General features: G+C 36.2%; 1 long non-coding RNA gene across 7 annotated transcripts in view, besides 1 other annotated feature; it reads right to left on the bottom strand.

Moving 5' to 3' along the window:
* The window catches only part of LOC105377979 (uncharacterized), a 288164-nt gene that overhangs the window by 169580 nt on the left and 98078 nt on the right, over positions 1-20506 (bottom strand). For 5 of the 7 annotated variants that reach the window (XR_942936.3, XR_001744323.2, XR_001744324.2 and 2 more), the window contains 2 exons: positions 19906-20152; positions 17604-17661 (listed from right to left, as the gene is read on the bottom strand). The exons of 1 other annotated variant lie outside the window; for it this stretch is intronic. This is a non-coding gene — a long non-coding RNA (uncharacterized LOC105377979). The remainder of the gene's footprint in view (positions 1-17603; positions 17662-19905; positions 20153-20506) is intronic. One more of the 7 variants, XR_007059731.1, reaches the window with a different exon arrangement.
* Positions 326-620: an enhancer, noted in NCBI's record as "tiled region #11019; HepG2 Activating DNase matched - State 8:EnhW". NCBI's record gives its function as "activates a minimal TATA promoter and a strong SV40 promoter by Sharpr-MPRA in HepG2 cells {active_cell/tissue: HepG2}" and the evidence as "EXISTENCE:reporter gene assay evidence [ECO:0000049][PMID:27701403]".

The raw sequence follows: 20506 nt of genomic DNA, 5'->3' as shown, positions 1-20506 counted from the left end.
CAGGAAGGTTCTGCCTCATTCAAATCAGTCCATTGCTCAACCTTGGTGCTCTTCCACCACTGTACATATTTGATCTGGCTGTTCCTCCCATCTGGAACACCCCCTTCTGTCCTCCATTTATTTCCATCCTACCCAATATTTAATGCAAGGGTCAGAAACCCACCTCTTTTGTAGGTGTTTCCTAAGAGCTCAGTCAGTCCCTGATTCTCCTTTCCTTCCCTGGACACCTAGAGTACACACTCTCAAGATCACTTATTGGGCTCTTATCAGATTCTACTTAGAGCTGCAAACTCCCTTTCCTGGAAAGCTGCTACCATGTTGCAAAACCCCAGATCATAGCACAGTGTCTCCATCAGGAGGGATTAAATATATAAACTCCCATACAATGTCATGTGCACTTTTGCACTCTATAGTTTACACAGAGCTTTCGCATATCCCACAGCTTAAATAAACAAGCTTTCATGCCCTCAATCTATAGAGTACACAGAGAGTTTTTACATTTGCTATCTTGTTTCGCAATATCCTTGGAGAAAGGCCTGACAGATATTATAATCTCCATTTTACAGATAAGAAAGCTGAACCGGGGAATCATGAGTGATTTGCCCAAGTCACGTACCAACTAAGGGGCAGTATGAAGGTGTACAGGCTTCTTTTCTGATTCTCTAATGATCATTTGGCTTAATCATTTTTTCTGTGCCTAATCACTTTAATTTTGTAGTTTTAAACACTGTGATTTGGAGTTTTCTCAATAAAGTATTAAAAAGACAGAGAAAAAAATGGCTTGATACTATAAGATCAGAGATACACAAAGCTAATAAACAGAATAAAGGTGTATGATCAGTATTTTAAATGACTTGGGCAACTGAGGCAAAAGAGAAAAGAGCGTGAGAGCTCTTAATGTTAATCAAATCATGAAGACTTAAGTCTCGTATAAAGAAAAATGAGATGAAAGTCTACAATGTTTTTAAATTATGTATGTCCAGAGCTTTTTTCTAGAATTTTAAGTCATACACTGAAAGATGAAAAGAAATACTATACTATACCAAATCCATTACAAAGAAAGAGAAAAATATGTTCTCAAGGATTCCATTAACTAATCTGTTCTAGTGTTGAATTGCTAGCATTTCTTAAATGCAAACTCTGAGTCAGGCACAGTCCTGAGTACTTTACATGGATTATGCACTCTCTCTCACAATGGTGCTCAAAAGTGTTATTATCCCAACTTTTCAGAGGAAGAAAGGCAAAGAACGGGTGTTGATACAGGTGTCATTTTCAACATGTGCCACCTAACTCCTGAGCTCAAGCTAAACTCTGTATAATCACCCTTGTCATTGGGAAAATCTGAATCCAATTATTCCAGTTCATTTTAAGTCAAAGTAAGTATATTTGGGCTTTATACTGTTTCTTAATAATTATCCATATGTTTTTTACCAAAACTACTAAAACCCCTTGAGGTCTTGCTATAACTGCATACAACGCCAATGACTTCATATTTCCCCAGAGGACTTGAATGTCACGTTTGGGACAAAATAGTCTCCAGGACAAGCTCCTTTGTGCTTTGCAGTGTATGCACATCTGTTTGCTTCTGCACATGGAAGAAATGAATGCATGTGACTCTGTTAGGGTTGCCAAATATCTCTGACTATGAAAGGCGACATTTGCTTTAGGAAGATACTTAGTTCTCAGTGGTCTCTAGCATTGTTGAATATAATTGCACACGTTAACATTTTTCAAGGAATGCAACTCAGTATTTTTGCTCTTAAAGTGGTTGTTATTGTTGGGGATGATCCATTCTCAAACATTTTTGTGTTTGACACATTCCTTACACTATTGGCTATACAAAGTAACAGCTAACAGATGGTTATTGAACCCAGACAGACATGGATGTGAATCTCAATATTTCCTTTACTAACTTTGTGGTTAGGGGCTTTCACTGGACTTATCTGAACTTCGGTTTCCTTATCTGTAAAACATAAAACTAATTAATAGAATTTGGGTGAGGATAAAATAAAGTAGTAAGTGGAAAATCTAGGGAATATGGCTAACAAATGCTCCATAAGTATTAGCTTGACAATATAACTACACAGAACACATATATAGAAAATGGATTTTGCTAGACAGACAAATATAAATATATCAGTATAGTTGACTGAGAATATAAGATTATGGATGTTTCCTTTTTCATTCTAGTTTTCTATATCTTCCAGAATTTTCATTAATAAGTAAAATAGAATTTGGCTAAAGAATGATATCATCTTACTGGCAGTAGCAAGAAATCTCAGCATACAGAGGTTGACATTGTTATCCACCTCAGTTCATTTGCAAGAAATCAGACATAGTCTCTTGAGGTTTTATATTAAATTCATTACAGCCACCACTTTTTTTCACTTGATTAGTTCTGTGAACACATTTCCAATGATTGAGCAGTTCACAATCCCAGAAAACTCATTTTTAAGTGTAAAGATGTGGATTCTTCAGGAAAAAAAAAAAGAGTAGCCAAGAGGATTTACACGGGGCTCTCACTTATCACACAGTATGAACTTAAGAGGTTAAGCTGGCACACTGAGAACACTGAACTTGGAAAATCTGCCTCTAGCATAGTCCAAGGAAACTCTGAGGCTGTAATTTTCAACAGGCAGTCCACATTCTTTGGTAAACAGTGGTTTAGGATGAAGAAGACAATTTCACCTGGCAATACCCATTTCAGGACTTGTCAGTCTAGCTAGCAGAGCTTGCTTTCCTTGAAATTTGTAACCTCCTTTTAGGAGAATATGACTCTTCAGCAGGAAATCCACCTGTAACAACTATTATAGCAGCCTGTGAATACCGCTATTCCTGGAATGAATTTCATTGTAATATAATGAAAATGACCTTTACATAGATGGATCTTTTTTGAATGGAGGTACCTAGTGTGAGGGAATGAGCTGGAGAAAATGAACATAAGTAGAGTTTCCAGCCAGGGAATACTTCAGGAAAAAAAATATGAAATGGATACTCTGAACCATGTTTATGCATGTCCTTGTGTAATTAACCCAGAGCAACTTATTGATCTTAAAAACTCTTCAGTAATGGAATCATTGATTCTGGTATAATCCAGGTTTATGTGGGTTAAGTCAGTCCTTCCCCCAAACCTCAGAGAGCTGACAATTAAAGTTATAGATGTGTAAAACTGAGACACAAAAAGAGATGTGGATTAACAACTTTGCCAAACTCATAGTGAATCCACAAAAAGTGCATGCTACATTGCTCTAAATTGAGTGGCACACTATGAGTCACTTGCTTTTTCTACACTTTTCCCTTTGTCCCTTCAATTCCAAATCTGCCACTTAAAATCTTTGCAACACAGCAGAGAGCAGGGAACTATGCTTTGGGATTTAGGCTTTCAAAGGCAATTCCGGTTAGCAAAAGATGCAACTCAAGGCAGGTCTCCTTCTGCTGTCTCTCATACTTCCCTCTGTACTCAGTGACTTGTGGTTACTAGTGGATTCTTGCCAGGCATAGCTCCTGTGATGGTCATCTCCCAGTAGAGCCCTATAAAATCTTCAGCTTGACCCTGGGTCTCTTTGAGACTGGAATGCTCAGTGTGATTATCACTATGGGTCAGTTTATAACATTTATTATATTCTCAATTCATTGAACATCACAATGTTGTACACACTGTAGATACAATAGTGAATACTACAGATGGGATTTCTGTGACAAGAACATACAATGGGGTAAGGAGAGGCACTTCCTCTGGAGCTCCTCCAAACAACCACTGTGTTCAGAGCTTCCCATAATAGCATTGGGAATTTGACCTATGTAATAACACAGGGCCTGATGTTCTCTTCAGTGCCTTTCATGGGTGGAAGCAGATTACAGTGTGCTGGACTCCACTTTCCCTTTGGGCGGGCTCTCTTGACTGTTATTGATGCCAGGATGCTCAAGCCTTGGAGTATTTGATTGTAGAGTCATTCATTCTCTCTTAGGCAGGTACAAATTCAGTTTACCAGAGGAGATGGTAATTCTTTATCTGCCTCATGTATACATGATACATATAGGAAATAAATGCTGATGTATCTTTGGTTTTCCTTTAGTTTCCCATATGGTCATGTAAAAGGAACTTAAGTAATCCTAGAATGCATTAAAAAAGATCTTCCAAAAATGATGAGCACTTAGCCTGTGTTTCAACTTTCTCCACAAGTTCTGCCCATTGCAACCAAAAATTTAAAAATTGGGAAAAGGGTAATTTACTAATTTTCTTCTCTGTTGTCTAAGATTTCACACTTTGAGTAGAGAGAAGCAAAGTATAGAGGGAATGTTATCTATCTCTCTTTAATTATATTTCAATCAGTTTTCTATAGATTCTATGACTTAAACATGGATTACTTGGGTCAAAGTAATGTTATTGTCAATTGTCTCCATATAAACTAAATTAACACATTATAATTATGTTGTCATGTTTATTGTCTTCTAAACATTTTATAATTCATAGAAGTAATTTGCATATCTAGAAGCAAGCCCATAAATCCAAATATATCATATATTAAAATAATTATCCACAGAGTACCAGTATAGTTTCCTTCATCTTATACTATAAATCACTGCTTATTATCACTCATTGAATTTGTTTGCAATATATAAGTCTTGTTTTATATACAAAGCTTATTTAGGAGGAACTAGATAGATAGGTGGATAGAACTATTGGCACATACATAAGGCTGCAATTCTGCAGAATGTTTTTATGCATCGCTTTCTAAAGTAATAATTCTAAGACATCCAGACTAAGTATGGAACCCTGCATTAGGCTGACATCAAAAAGCAATAAAATAAAACTTTCCAAAGCTTCTAGCTTTGGAATGCTAAATGTGGTCAATTTAAAATGATTTCCTGTTTCCAAAAAGGTCTTTTGTTGTTTTTCCCCCCTCCACCAACAACAAAATCCTCTCTCTGGAAATATCAGATGTCCTCATGGCTATTTGATATTACTGCCCAGGAGAATCTGAGGGGAAAAAGAACAGAAAGAAAGTGAAAAAGGGCCAACAGAGTACAGGAAACCCTTCTTGGAATTTCAAAGGCAGTAAAATGTGGAATAACTTAGCTATGCTAAGACATTTTATATAGAAAGCCTGAAGAACTGAGTAAAGAAACATTTGTATAAAGAAACATATAGATATTATATATGTAGCTTCATATTACATAAATTAAACTAAAAAAACCATTAAAATCTTTTAAAAGAGACATTAAGAAAATATTTAGTACAAATAAATGGATGAATAATTTGAATGACAGGGAACTATAGAGTAGCCACTCAAATGTTCCTAAAATGGTACAGCTATTACTGTTGCTGCTTTTCTGCATTTGTTTACACTTAAGGTAGTTAATTGTTATTTGTTAATATGTATCATCTTTTACGCAAAAAATTAACATATGATTTTAGAGAATGAAATCTTTTATGACATTGCCAATTTGTGTTGTCTCTTATCAAGCCATTCTTCACTGCTATTACAAAGGAACAGGTGAGGAAACTTCCAAGACAAGTTTCTACATATTCCTGACAACCTAATCGCCCAAAATGGAACAGAGAAAATTGTGGTGCTTTGTTTTTGAACAACAATAATTGTTATAATTAGCACACCAGATAGCAATCTTGCTGAAAATGAAAAATATATTAGAACTCTTGTTCTTTTCAAACTAATAATTAATTATAAAAATAGTGGCTTGTGATTTGGGAAAAACTAAATATAGATAAATCTTGAAATGATACATTAATACTTTTTGGATATCTTATATTCCATGCAAGACTAAAACATGAGTTGAGATGCTAAGAAAAATTGCTTATACCAAAACCAACATATATGTTAATAAAAAGCACTTTTTAAAGCTTTAAAAAGCACCTCTGTGGCACATAGTAGTTGCTCATTATGGGTTTTGGGGTTTTAGTAGACTGAGTTTCAACTCCATCTAAAGACTACTCAATGCTTTGCTAACAGCTTACACATAATTCATACATTTACTTGCAATTTTTGAACATATTTGCTTTCTTTAAGAGGAATGTTTTTTGGGAAAGAAATGCGAGAAAGAATAGTGAGGGTTTCCTTGCCGTACTATACATTAAAATAGATTATACAATCTTAATAATTTTTAAAGTTTATTACTGGTATTAGGATAGAGGCAAATTAATGTAATACACTAGAAGATCCAGAAACATATAAGTATATAAAGGACTCTAATATATGATAGAGGTGCCATTTTAAATGACTGAGAAAGAAAAGATTATTTAGTAAATGAGCTGGCTGATGGCTTGGAAAAAAAAGTTAGATCCCTACCTCATGCCACACGGCAGAGTAAGTTCCAAATGTACTGAAAATTAATAATAGAAAATTGAAACACTGAACTACTAGAAGAAATATAATGACAATATAATCTTGAGGTGGCAGATAGTACTTTATATTATAATTTAAGTAATATATTTATGAAAATTGGTCATATTTTCTAAAACTGACACAAATGCAGTGAGAAGGGTGGCATTGTTTTACATTTTTGCAAGTCTCCTTAATGTCTAGCTTAATAGAAAACATCTGGAATCTCATATTTGCCTTGGCAATCATCTGTGGTGATATCATATGTCTGTAGCTGGACAACTCCACTGTAAACTTGTAAAAGAGTAGAAGTGAAAAAGGCAGATACATCATAGTATTATTATGTAAATAGTTTTGATCTTTTAGGCCTCTGGAATGGATCTCTGGGTCACATGTGGACGGTGAATCACACTTTGAGACTATGAAATATAAACCTTTAAATTGATTGTATTTCTGAAGTATCAATTTTATTTGCATAGTTATGGAAAAGATTCATCTGAATTACCTGTAGTTTCCTATAAGTGATCAGTTTCCTACCCCTATTGAGTAGCAAAATAGCTTAGTATACTCTTAAATTGGATTATCCCCCAAAAGGTCTAAAATCACCCCATATCCCACTGAAAGGATACCCTATCATCTCTTCTGTCCATTTCTCAGTCTATCCTCCTAACTTACACCACCTTCAATTATCAGCCTCCACATTAAACGTTTTGATATGCAAAGGTCATAAGGAGATGGGCAAATTTCTAGGTGGTAATACAACCAGAAAGAAGGAGATTGGAACTATTTGCAGTGTAGTTAATGTAGTTACTTCTTTATATTTCCACACTTAAGTCCTTGCAAAATTTCCTCCTTTACAACTTCCTTCTTTCATTTGAAAAATCACATTTTCCTAAAGAAGTCCTTTTTCATGTTTCTTATTTCAGTCCTTTATCCCCTTTTCAGGAAATCTTATTACTTTCCTCAGCAGGTAGAAGTTTCCCTTTTTGGTCTGTTCCATGCCTACCAACTCAAATGGCACCTCTGACTTAGTTTAAATGTTTATAAGGATCTCATTTGTTCAGGAAGATGGGATGCATTCTAATTACATGATTATAAGTAAATATGAGTTTCAGTTCAGGTTCAGTACATACTCCAAAGGAAAATTTGCTTTTTTTCACACTAGATCATCTGGTAGTTAATCTTCATCAAAGTGGTCACTAAGATTAGAAAATGAAATCTCGTATTCAAAGCAAATGCATATATATATGTCTCATGACAGATATATATATATGCACATGTGAAATGAAAGGCTATGGTTATTTAGCTTTATTTTGTCCTGTCCTTTTTAGGACAATAGACTCCACCATTATTCTTCTAAGAGGCTTTTTTTTTTTTTTTTTTTAATATTATGCCCCACTGAGTGTGGTGTCATTATAAAAGACATCATACTAAGTATAAATTGCTTAGCCTTAGTTTCCCTTCCTGCAAAGTAGTATTTCCAATCAAATTCCTTATGATTTCTCCTTCCTAAGGTATATGTTTGAGAGCAGAGGTAGAAATGGAGAGAGCTCCAGTTTATATATAACACATGCACAAAAATGTATACCCACAATGTGAACATGGATAAGAATGAGTAGCCCAGACATTTGAAAATTTACAAACATTTTGCAGCTTCATTTTATGGTTTAAATTGAGGTATGGAGAACAAATCAGTAAGTATTTGTATGACTAATAATCCTAAAACATACTTATTCTAAATCTGACTTTGGGACTATAGAAGTGAGTTATTTCATATTTTCAGTACAAAATTAGAGTCACGAGGGGCTCAAGTGTGATTCTAGAGATAGAAAGTGAACTATGACCACGAGGAGCAGGCTTTACTGAGATGTACATAAATACCTAATCTTCCCCCTACTCCTTCCTCTCCTCTTCTATCTCTCCTTCTCTCCACAACATGGACAGGAGGAAGATTAAGTAGCTCAGACATTTAAAAATTATCCTGTTTTTCCTCCTCCTCTTTTCCCTTCTCCTCTTCTTTCTCCTCTTTCTTCTTCTAATGAATGAAAATAGAAATGGCAGCCATGTGAAATTTTTGGTCTAAATAGGATTGCAAACTCTGAACCATGGATTAAACCCGGCCCTTTGCCTCTTTCTGTACATCTGTACATCCATGAGCTAAGAATGGTTTTTAACTTTTTTTTTTTTTTGAGACAGTCTTCTCTGTTACCCAGGCTGGAGTGCAGTGGCGCAATCTCAGTTCACTGCAACCTCCACCTCCCAGGTTCAAGTGATTCTCCTGCCTCAGCCTCCCAAGCAGCTGGAACTACAGGCACCCGCCACCATGCCCAGCTAATTTTTGTATTTTTAGTAGAGACAGGGTTTCACCATATTGGCCAGGCCAGTCTCGAACTCCTGATCTTGTGATCCACCTGCCTCAGCCTCCCAAAGTGCGGGGATTATAGGCATGAGCCAAGGCGCCCGGCCGGTTTTTTAACATTTTTAAGTGGTTGAAAGTAACTCAAAAAGATAATATCTGGTGACACTTGAAAATGATATGAAATTCAAATTTCATTATCTACAGATAAAATAATATTGGAACACAGCCACACTCATTTGTTCATGTACTATATACCATTGCTTTTGTGCTATACTGGCAAAGTTAAGTAATGACAATAGAAACCATATGTGACACTCTCATGACTTCACACTCCTGCTCAATGTACTACAGATCACAGTGATGCAATTGTAACTCAACAGCATTTCAATATGTCATGCATATTGCTCCACCACAACATAATTTTTATAAATTGTCAATGGGTATTTATTATGTCAAAAGAAGAAAAGAAGAGAAAATGGGGGTTTGAAAGTTGTACCTTTGAGGCACAATGGAATGTAGGTTATTTTATTATTGAATTCAATTGTGAAGGGTTGTATTTATTATGCAATGACACTACAGCTGTGATAAAATGCAATATACATCAGTGTCACCAAAAACCATGCATGCACTACAGTATTCTTCCAAATCACAAAAAAGGCAATAACAAAAAAATTTAACATGGACTATTTTGTCACAGCAGAATTTCTTCACAAAAATAAAAAATGAAAATCAGACTGTGACCAAAGTTTATGTGCACATTGCTCATTTGTTAGTCAAGGAAATTCATTTACAAATTGTGAATTAATTAAATCACATTTGATTGCAGCTATAGTTAATATCTGCCTAGAGAAAACTCTACTGAAGATTATTAGCCTTTTAATGAGAATAACAGTTCAAAGAGTTGAGGACATTGGGAGCAATGTCAATAGTCAATTAAAAAACAAAGGAAATTGTGTTTAGTGGTTAGTTTTGGCTCTTGGTAAGTTAACAGGGGTTACCAAAACTACTGAGTTGTTTTTCACTTGAGGAATTAATGCCAAGTTTGAGATGACTGAAGAATTAGTGTGTATGAACAGTTCATGTGGGATAATTACAGGAGAGAATATTTTCCAAAAAAATTGAGAAAGCAACAATTCAGTAAAATCTGAAGTGGTATCTGCTAAGATGTGTTATAACTAATGATGGAAACAAAAGTGTAGAGCAGAAAATGGCTTATTTGGACAAATTTACTAAGCTTTTGACATTGTCTTGAACAAGAATAATTGCCCTGAATCAGTATTATTTAATACTAAACAGCTTTGGAAATTTGCTGTTACTGCAGACTTGATTACTTAATTAATTCAATCTAAAATTACAAGGGAATTTAGAGTTTATATGTGAACGATACTGCAATAAAGTCATTTTGGCAAGTAATATTTTCTCAAATGACAATTTTGAACCACATGTTGGCAAAAGTTAAAGCAACAGTCAAGATTTTCATCCTCATATGAATATTTAGTGCATATGTTCTTTGAACTCAAACTGCAGTTTCAGCAGAACTCTTTAGACCTTGATGCAAATGAAAAGGAAATTTCATATTTCAAAATATATTTCACTAAGACATTGAGAAGCTTTCACCTGACCTTCAATTAGTCACCTAACCTTCAATTAGAACTTATTCATCCAAAATGTAGTGACACGCTAAAAGCCAAATATCAAAAGACTCTAATAGGAGTGTGTTAATATATTTCAAGTTTTAATTATGATTAAAATCATATGCTGGTGGATTGATAACAGTATTTGGCAGTGCCATCTGTGCTAAAAGATGTTTTGGAAGACAAAATCTATAAAATTTCATTATGGATAGCATTAACAGATGATACTTGTAACTGATTTTGATAAGAGAAAACACTAGGAATTTCAGTTAAGCAAATGTTACCTGCAACCCCCAAAAGGGGGAACTCCATTCTTCTCATTATTAGACTTGTATTAAAATTATTTCAATTCATTTCGGTACAAAGTAAAAAAGTAAAAAAATATATATACATATTATTTTGCAGTACTCAAAATAACTTGAATGCTGTAGTACTCAATTATAATTGTTATTATATTTAAATTTCATCAATTAAAAATATGTGGAAATTTGTTTTCTCTCTGATTATGTAACATCTATGTAATTTCCATGATTTTGCCTCTTTGCCTGCAAAGCTTAAAAAATTCATTATCTGGACTTTTTTTTTTTTTTTTTTTTTTTTTTGAGACAGAGTCTTGCTCTGTTGCCCAGGCTGGAGTGCAGTGGCATGATCTCTGCTCACTGCAAGCTCTGGCTCCTGGGTTCACACCATTCTCCTGCCTCAGCCTCCAAGTAGCTGGGACTACAGGTACCCACCACCACGCCCGGCTAATTTTTTATATTTTTAGTAGAGATGGAGTTTCACCATTTTAGCCAGGATGGTCTCAATCTCCTGACCTACTGCGCCCACCTTGGCCTCCCAAAGTGCTGGGATTACAGGCGTGAGCCACTGCTCCTGGCCCCATTATCTGGACTCTCACAAAAAAAGTTTGCTGATCTTTGATCTAAATAAAACAAATCTGAATTCTGGTTCCACTTGTGGAATGCCAAGGAAACTGACAGCAGAAAGAAAGTGCTGGAGGCCAGAGATCAGTGAAACTGAAATTGAGGTGATGATTATCCTGAGACTTACAGTGAAAGACACTGGCTGCAAGGGTCTATCTGAGATGTTCTTCCCTCAAAAGAGGGCATCAGGTTCTGAATAAAATTAGCCATCCTAGACATCCAACAGTGGAGCCAGGATAACCAGGCTGTCATGCTCCAGTATACTGAGCATGATCATTTTTCCTTCCAATGACTTTATTTCCATAGTTATATGTTTGTAGGGAAACTGTATGTTTGCCATAAACAGATGTTTATCTTTTTGACATAGAGAACACAGAAATTTTGGATAATTTCATTGTTAAGAGGTGGCATTGGCCAATGTTGGTATCATTAAAACAGATTGTAGATGCCTAATAAATTGCATGCGAATTTACTTTTTCTGAAACTAAGGTCAACTCTTTATGTCTTATTAGCTTTCAATGTTTTCAGAAAGAAAGAACAGTTAGAGAAAATTAGAACAGGGATATTAAAATGCTTTTTCACTTGATTTTCCAACATCTTAGAAAAAAGACCTAGGCTTTGTGCAGACCAGTGTAAAAAATTATGCCTTGTCTGGACATAATTAAGCCAGGAAAATGAACACTTTCCACTTAGTATTTATTTGTAAATTCATAATCAAAAAGGTAATAGTTATCATTCCTAACTTCTTCAAAGATACAGGGGATGAAAAAAGACTTTTATAATAACCTCTTTAGAATAGATTTTTATGTGAAGGAAGTGCAGAATCACCAGTGTTTTTTTGTCAGCATACCTCTGGGAGTTACACTGGGATTAAGTCTCCTCTAATCACCAATTGTTAGCTGACAAGGTGGACTTTGAACTAGTGCGTTCAAACATGGGGTTCTCTCGTGTTTGAAAAAAGAAAAAGACCATGTCAAAGCTAGTCTTTATCACTTGTCTGGCAATCAATCACATACTTTCCATGGAAAGCTGTTTTACATACAAAGTATTTGTTTTAAATACTTTATAGAAATAAAAGATGTGTACTGAAGATAACTTTTAAAAAGTAGCCATATTTTTGAAAAGCATAATTTCTTCATTACATTTTTTTCATTATTGATATGGTTTGGCTCTGTGTCCCCAGCCAAATATCACTTTGAATCGTAATCATCCACACGTGTCATGGGAGGGACCTAGTGGGAGGAAATTGAGTCATGGGGGTGAGTTTTTCCCATGCTGTTCTCATGATAGTGAATAAGTCTCATGAGATCTGATGGTTTTATAAAGTGTAGTTCCCCTGAACATGTCCTCTTGCCTGCCGCCATGTAAGATGTCACTTTGCTCCTCCTTATCTTCTGCCATGATTGTGAGGCCTCCCCAGCCATGTGGAACTGAGTCCACTAAACCTCTTTCCTTCATAAATTACCCAGCCTAGGTATGTCTTTATTAGCAGCATGAGAACAGACTAATACAGTAAATTGGTACCAGTAGAGTAGTGTGCTGCTGTACAAATACCTGAAAATGTGGAAGTGACTTTGGAACTGGGTAACAGGCAGAAGATGGAACAGTTTGGAGGGCTCAGAAGAAGACAGGAGAATGTGGGAAACTTTGGGACATCCTAGAGACTGGATGAATGATTTTAACCAAAATGTTGCTCGGGATACGGACAATGAAGTCTAGGTTGAGGTAGTCTGAGGTGGAGATGAGGAACTTGTTGATAACTGCAGCAAAGGTTACTCTTGTTATGCTATAGCAAAGAGACTGGTGGCATTTTGCCCCTGCCCTAGAGATTTGTGGAAATTTGAGCTTGAGAAAGATGGTTTAGAGTATCTGATGGAAGAAGTGTCTAAGTGGCAAAGTGTTCAAGAGGTAGCACAGCATAAAAGTCTGAAAAATTTGCAGCCTGATGATGCAATAGAAAAGAAAAACCCATTTTTTGGGGAGAAATTCAAGCCTGCTGCAGAAATTTACATAAGTAATGAGAAGCCCAATGTTAATCCAAGACAATGGGGAAAATGTCTCCAGGGCATGTCACAGACCTTCAAGGAAGCCCCTCCTATCTCAGGCCCAGAGACCTAGGAGGAAAAAATGGTTTCATGGGCCAGGCCCAGTGGCCCCTGCTGTGTGCAGCCTAGGAACGTGGCACCCTGTGTCCTGGCTGCTTCAGCCATTGATAAAAGGGGCCAAGATACAGCTCAGGCTGTGGCTTCAGAGGGTGTAAATCCCAAGCCTTGGCAGCTTCCACGTGGTGTTGAGGCTGCGGGTGCATAGAAGTCAAGAATTGAAGTTTGGGAACCTCCACTTAGATTTCAGAGGATGTATAGAAACGCCTTGATGTCCAGGCAGAGGTGTGCTGCAGGGGCAGAGCCCTCATGGAGAACCTCTACTAGGGCAGTGTGGAAGGGAAATGTGGGGTGCTAGCCCCTACACAGAGTCCCCACTGGAGCACTGCCTAGTGGAGCTGTGAGAAAAGGGCCACCATTCTCTAAACCCCAGAATGGTAGATCTACTGACAGCTTGCACTGTGCACCTGGAAAAGCCTCAGACACTAAATGCCAGCCCATGAAAGCAGTCAGGAGGAGTGCTGTACCCTGCAAAGCCACAGGTTTGGAGCTGCCCAAGACCATGGGAACCCACCTCTTGCATCAGTGTGACCTGGATGTGAGACATGGAGTCAAAGGAGATCATTTTTGAGCTTTAAGATTTGACTGTCCTGCTGGATTTTGGACTTGCATAGGGCCTGTAGCCCCTCTGTTTTGGCCAATTTTTCCTATTGGAATGGGTGTGTTTACCCAATGTCTATACCCCCATTGTATCTAGGAAGTAACTAACTTGCTTTTGATTTTACAGGTTCATAGGCAGAAGGGACTTGCCTTGTCTCAGATGAGACTTTGGTCTTGGACTTTTGGGTTAATGTTGCAAGGAGTTAAAGCTTTATGGCCTGTTGGAAGGAATAATTGGTTTTGAAATGTGAGGACATGAGATTTGGGACGGGCCAAGGGCAGAAATGTATGGTTTGGTTGTGTCCTCACCCAAATCTCACCTTGAATTGTCATAATCCCCACGTGTCATGGGAGGGACCCAGTGTGAGGTAGTTGAATCACAGGGTTGGGTTTTCCCCATGCTGTTCTCATGATAGCAAATAAGTCTCATGAGATCTGATGGTTTCATAATGGAGAATTCCCCTGCACATACCTTCTTGCCTGCTGCCATGTAAGACGTCCCTTTGTTCTTCCTTTGTCTTCCGCCATGATTGTGAGGCTTCCCCAGCCATGCTGGACTGTGAGTCCATTAAACCTCTTTCCTTTATATATTACCCAGTCTTGGGTATGTCCTTATTTGCAGCATGAGAACGGACTAATACAATTATTCTCCAAATTAAGCTTTTCCTTTCTGTTATAAGGGTAACATGATAAAATCACAGAATAGCCACAGAAAGAAAGATTTTCTGAAAATAAGAAATATACACCAAATTCCATTTGGTGATTAAATATTTTACTATGCTTTATAAATACCTAAAGATATTTAGCTTATCCAGTTACTATTCCTTTTAAGGAAAGCTTTTGGAATTTGGAATTTAATTGCCATTTATACTAAATAGTAAAAAGAAGGTTGTGCAATTTACATAGGTTTAACTTCTAATATGAAATTATCACTCTGAATTGTTAAGTGAAATGAGAATGGAAGCAGCCTCCCTAAGCAGCATAAAAGACAGGCTGTAAAAGAAGTGCATGGAGAGCAGAGAGAATAATAGGCTATAGACAGAGAGATTCCTTTACTAGGGTGTATCATGGAGTCAGGAAGGAGAGGGGTGCAAAATCGAGGGATGTAATCTGACTCCCTGTTTGGTAAAGTCTGGATTTTATCAAAACTAGAATTGGTAAAGGCTTCTCCATTTATTTCCAGCTATGTCCAATCAGTTACTAATTATTGGTGATTCTACTTAAAAAATTTTGATTGGAGAAACTGAATAAATATATAAATGTATTAATTAATACATGGATGAATGAACGAACAAATGGGTGAATGAATAAATAAGGGACAACAGTGAAAGATCCTTTGACTTATTATTTCTCGGGTGATAGTGAGATGCTTCGTCCTGATTTCTGGGCAATCTGTCCAATCACAACAGAGCATCAGGCAGTGGATAGGGCACAGCAATTGAGATGCAGTGCTAGGGAAAGAAAGATGGTTTGAGTCAGATTTGGTATTTTAAATAAGTCAGGTATCCAGGAAAATTAGAACAGAAGGGAATGTTAAAAATCCCACACTAGTTAATAGGGCTTAATCCAGGCATACAAAACATCATGTCTTCTTGGTAACATGACTTCATTTTAAGTGCCACTCCGTGGTGAGCTGAGCTTCCTGGTCTACTTCCTAACCTACCATGATCTTCTGGGTCAGCCTGTATGTGGCTACTAGGGGATAGAGTGGCAGGCAGGAAGACGGAGAAGAAAAAAGGCAGGGAACACAAGGCAGAAACCAACCAAAGTAATCTAACTTCAGCAACTCTTGAAACTTTTACAGTATTTTGGTTTATGTTCACCACTATGCCTTTTGTAATTCTTGTATTTTATAATTTGTTAAGCTACTATGGGACTTATGTTGATATAGAAAATTCCTTTTTCTTCTTCTTTTCCTTTCTTTTTTGACACACAACTAATTTGTTGCTTATTTGATCACACCAAAACTGCCAAGTGTCTGCATGTGGAGACGTGTGATGAGTTAGCTTATATGTAACAACTGGGCAGTGTCATTCATTGTGAATTCATGGGAACATGATAGACATTTTCCTTAAATTTAACTGTCAGGTTCATCAGATGGGTGAATTGAATTCAGCTTCATATATTTACCAAGTTATGATATGTTGATTTATTATTTTTTTCCATGAATGGGCTAGACCAGGTCTACTTGAGAGGCAATGAAGGAGGCAATAGTAAAGTAAGTATTTAGTGTGAGTTACTTCAAAACTGTGTCTATTATATACCGTTAACTTGAAGAGAAAACTATCTTAGCAAGCACCCTTTTTTAAAAAAAAAAAAAATTAACTTTGAGTAGCAATTTTACTAAATTAAAAGTGATTTTCCCATATTTTATCATCTTCAGTTAATACAAAATAGTGGAATATTTTATAATCCTAATAATTTGTACATTAAAACTTTATTACTTTTATTAAAAGTTTATTACTACTATAAGTATTCCAATGGCAACTGTTGTTTATTCAATTCCTGCTTTTTTGTCCCTATAATAGATCAATTATTTTTGTTAACTAATCCATTGATTTGATTCCCTCATTAAAATAATCAAAAATTTCAGTTTAATTGAAGAAATTTAGTGCTTTATATTTAGTATCATGTAGTAATTATCTTTGCCTTTCAGGCCATCAACATTTTTTTTCCAGAATTGAATAGAATAAAAATATTTTAAATGCTATGCTTTTGACTCTTCTTTTTAGCCACTTTCATGAAATGCAAAGTTGATAGAATTTTTAAAGAACCTCTTTGACCAAATACTGCTGGAAGCAAAGATGCCAAAATGCCATCTTTTTTTTTTTTTTTTTTTTTTGAGGTGGAGTCTCGCTCTGTCGCCCAGGCTGGAGTGCAGTGGCGCAATCTCCACTCACTGCAAGCTCCGCCTCCTGGGTTCATGCCATTCTCCTGCCTCAGTCTCCCGCGTAGCTGGGACTACAGGCACCCGCCACCATGCCCGGCTAATTTTTTATATTCTTTTTAGTAGAGATGGGGTTTCACCGTGTTAGCCAGGATGGTCTCGATCTCCTGACCTTGTGATCCACCCGCCTCGGCCTCCCAAAGTGTTGGGATTACAAGCATGAGCCACCGCGCCCTGCCCATCTTTTTAAAAAAGCTCTTGAAATACCTTCTACTTAGGTATATATACCTGAAAATAAGAAGAAATAGAGAATCTTCGGAAACCTTCATATGAGTTTGAAACTCAGATGTAGCCCAAAATGTGCAGGTGATTATAAAATTTAAGCCCTTTTTAAAGTGTTTTTGTTTTAGCCTCTACAGTATTAATTAAGAAATCTGTTCAACGTCTGGGCAAGGCTTAAATATCTTTCATATTTCTATCAGCTGGAAATAAGAGAAAGAAATACATTACGTATGACACATTTTTCTACAAGATAAGAATGCAGAAATATTTTCTCTAACAGTATCTATTTTACAGAAAGAATATCAAGAGAAAGCAAGTTTTTTTTTTGCAATGGGGGAGATACCAAGATGACAGGCATGATAATATTCCTTCTGGTTTATTTCACAATTCTATCCTTTGCTAAAGCAATGTTTACCTTGATTTGGGGTTTCTCATCTTGTCTTCCTCTTCCTGGCTTGGCTTTAGCTTTTAAACTAAAAATAAAGATAAATGAAGGCAGAGAAGAATTTTTACTAGCAAGTGTTGCACAAGAAATAACTATAAGCTCATAAAGTTTTATCTTTTTTGACTTCTTGCAATTTGAAATGTAGTTAAAACATAAGGCAAGAGTTCATATCACGTCCCTGAAGCAAATACAGTGCTTTTCTACTTTCCTTCTTTGATAGAACTTATGTATTTTTAAACTTTAGTACACTAAAATTTTAAAAATCTTAAACTGATGTCTGCTTAGGATTCCCTTTACGAGTTTTGCAGAGGGACAAAGACTGCACACAGGAAACTTGGTACCACTTACTAATGCCACCAAATTAGATAATGTGTAACAGAATGTCCAACTTTTGAACAAACACCATTTCAACAAATACCAGATTTGAAGATAACCCCACTGAAATCTGAAATAAAATATTTCAAATCAGATAGAAGATTGTACATATAGTCTTGAGCTTAAAAAATCTGTAATATTTTAGTTTCAGATGCACTTTATAAGCTAAGATTTAAACATACTTTGGGCACTTAAGATCAAATTTTGGAATAATAGTATGGTAAGTTTCAATTTTTCCAAGTCAACTTGGACATTGCAAATACCAACTGAACTATCTATCATAAATATGTTCTGTTTTCTTGAAATGCATTAGGTTTTTAAAAAATGACACTACTCACAGTGGGAGAAAAAAATTTATAATCAATTTATGTGGGTAATATTAAGACAATAATATTAGAAATATTTTGCTATGCCGAGCTAATGTTTAGTAACTTTCTGCAAAGTCTGGGAAGTGTCTACTTTATACAAATCTAGGTAAATATAAAAATGTTGAAATAAAAAAGTCTTGTATACTTTTTATACTCTCTCCCTTGTATACTAGGGAGAAGTTGAACGGTCCATTAAACTTGTTAAGTCCTGTAAAATTTGCAATTTCTTGGCTAAAACACAACATGCCACTTGAGGTCATGCTTTCCAACTGAGCACTGACTCAGGGCTCAGAGCATGGTGCTTAAATGTCAATGGAGACAAGCCCTCTGACTGTGATCCTTATTGTCGTGATACAGTCTCATGTTCTGGATACTCCCATTCTTATAAAAAGCAACTCATGCTTATTTATTATGTAGGGGAGAAAACATAATTTCTTTTCTTTCCTTTTTAGGTTCTCTGTTGAGAGAGTTTCCTGAAAACAAACATTGGATTAACAAAAGAGACAAATGGAAGTTTATTAATGCATGCTGTACCCATCATGCAGGAGAGGCCTCAGTTCAAAAGCATTTCTCTCCCAAGGCAGTGACTTAGGGGACTTGCTTAAATAGTATTTCAACAAAGAACCATCAATCCGATATAGTAGAAAGACAAAGGAGAGAGCAGTTTCAGTCTTTCAAAAGGTAGGAAAATGTAGGAAGATAGTAAAATGTGTCTGCAATTTTTTCTGGTGCCTCCTGAAAACTTCTCTGGTGACTTCTCTGGGCTGATAAGCAAGTTCTGTCTTAAGGAAGGATTGATGGCCTGCTATCAGGCAAGCAGAGCCTGAGACAGAGTGTTCCCCTGTGTTTTCAGTGTTTGTAATTCAACAGTGCTCACTATTTTGGAGAGAAATATTTTGGTTTCCTTCAATCAAAATCTGAGAGTTCCTAATGTACAAATACTGTGCCTAATTCACTCTTTTATCTTCCCAAGGATCTCCATATAGCAGGGGGCTAATTTAGTGTTTGTTGAATTGAATTTATTTAAGGTAGGCTTTCTTCTCTCCTTACAATTTCACATCATGACTTTTACTGTTTTATTTGTTGTGTGTCTGCATTAGACCACCACTTACTGATTTTTGCACTACTTAATGGAAGCAGGACAGTAAAATTGCCTATGTGACTCTGAGCCTGAATCAGATAAATAGTAACATTTTGGAAAGTTCCAGGAAAGGGTAGGAAGCAGAAGAAATGTGCTGTCAGGGATTTTTCTGTCTACTAGGGGATTGGTGCAGCAGAAAAGAGCACAGGTATAGAAGTAAGATGGGCTTGTTTTCAAACTTCTGCCATTTCCTAGGAGGAATATGTCATCTTAACAAGGCTTACCCTTAGGAATGTTGGGAAGATGAAATAAAATGTTACACATAAAGCATCCAGGATAATGCCAAACGTACAAATGGTAGCTATTAAAATTTGAACCAGAAAGATTATGGTATTACAAAATAAGAGATTTCTTTTTAGGTCACATTGCTTGCTTAGAAATGACTCACCCTGTCAAAATAGGTTTCAATTGTCCCCTTTCACTTCAGTGACATGTGAAGAAAGCTGATCCCATCCAGAGAACTCAACCACCATGGAGAAGACAGCTGAGTACTCCACCATTACACAGAGCAACTCCCTGCCACTCTTAGGGTTGGTAAGCTATGCCAGAGCTTACATTGCTGATTAACATGATGTTAGAAGCAAGTAGCATCCCTTAGAAATCAATCAGTAAAGATAAAATCTTGAGAAATTCCTCTGATAAAAGACAAAGAGATATACATTGGCTTGTAAAATAGAATTCAACTGTAAAAGTAGCATACAAAAAAAAGATACAGATTAACAAATTTTTTAAAAGGCAGATAAAAATTCACAAGTCAAGTGCAAATGAAGGAAATCTCAAAATACAATTAAATGTGAAAGACATCACCCTTCCAGGAGGTGAAACTTAATGATTACTACCCTAAATCTTTAAATATGGACTGTTCTTAATGATTTGCTCCCAAAGAATCGAATATGAAGGAAGATTTAAAAAAGGAGGGAGAGGAAGGGGAAGAAATTTTATAGTGGAGAAAACTATCCAACACTATCTTGCCCAGGTATGAAGGATAA

This window comes from Homo sapiens, chromosome 6 (genome assembly GCF_000001405.40).
Source record: "Homo sapiens chromosome 6, GRCh38.p14 Primary Assembly".
NCBI classification, from domain to species: Eukaryota; Metazoa; Chordata; class Mammalia; order Primates; family Hominidae; genus Homo; species Homo sapiens.
This window is presented reverse-complemented; position numbering and strand designations above follow the sequence as displayed.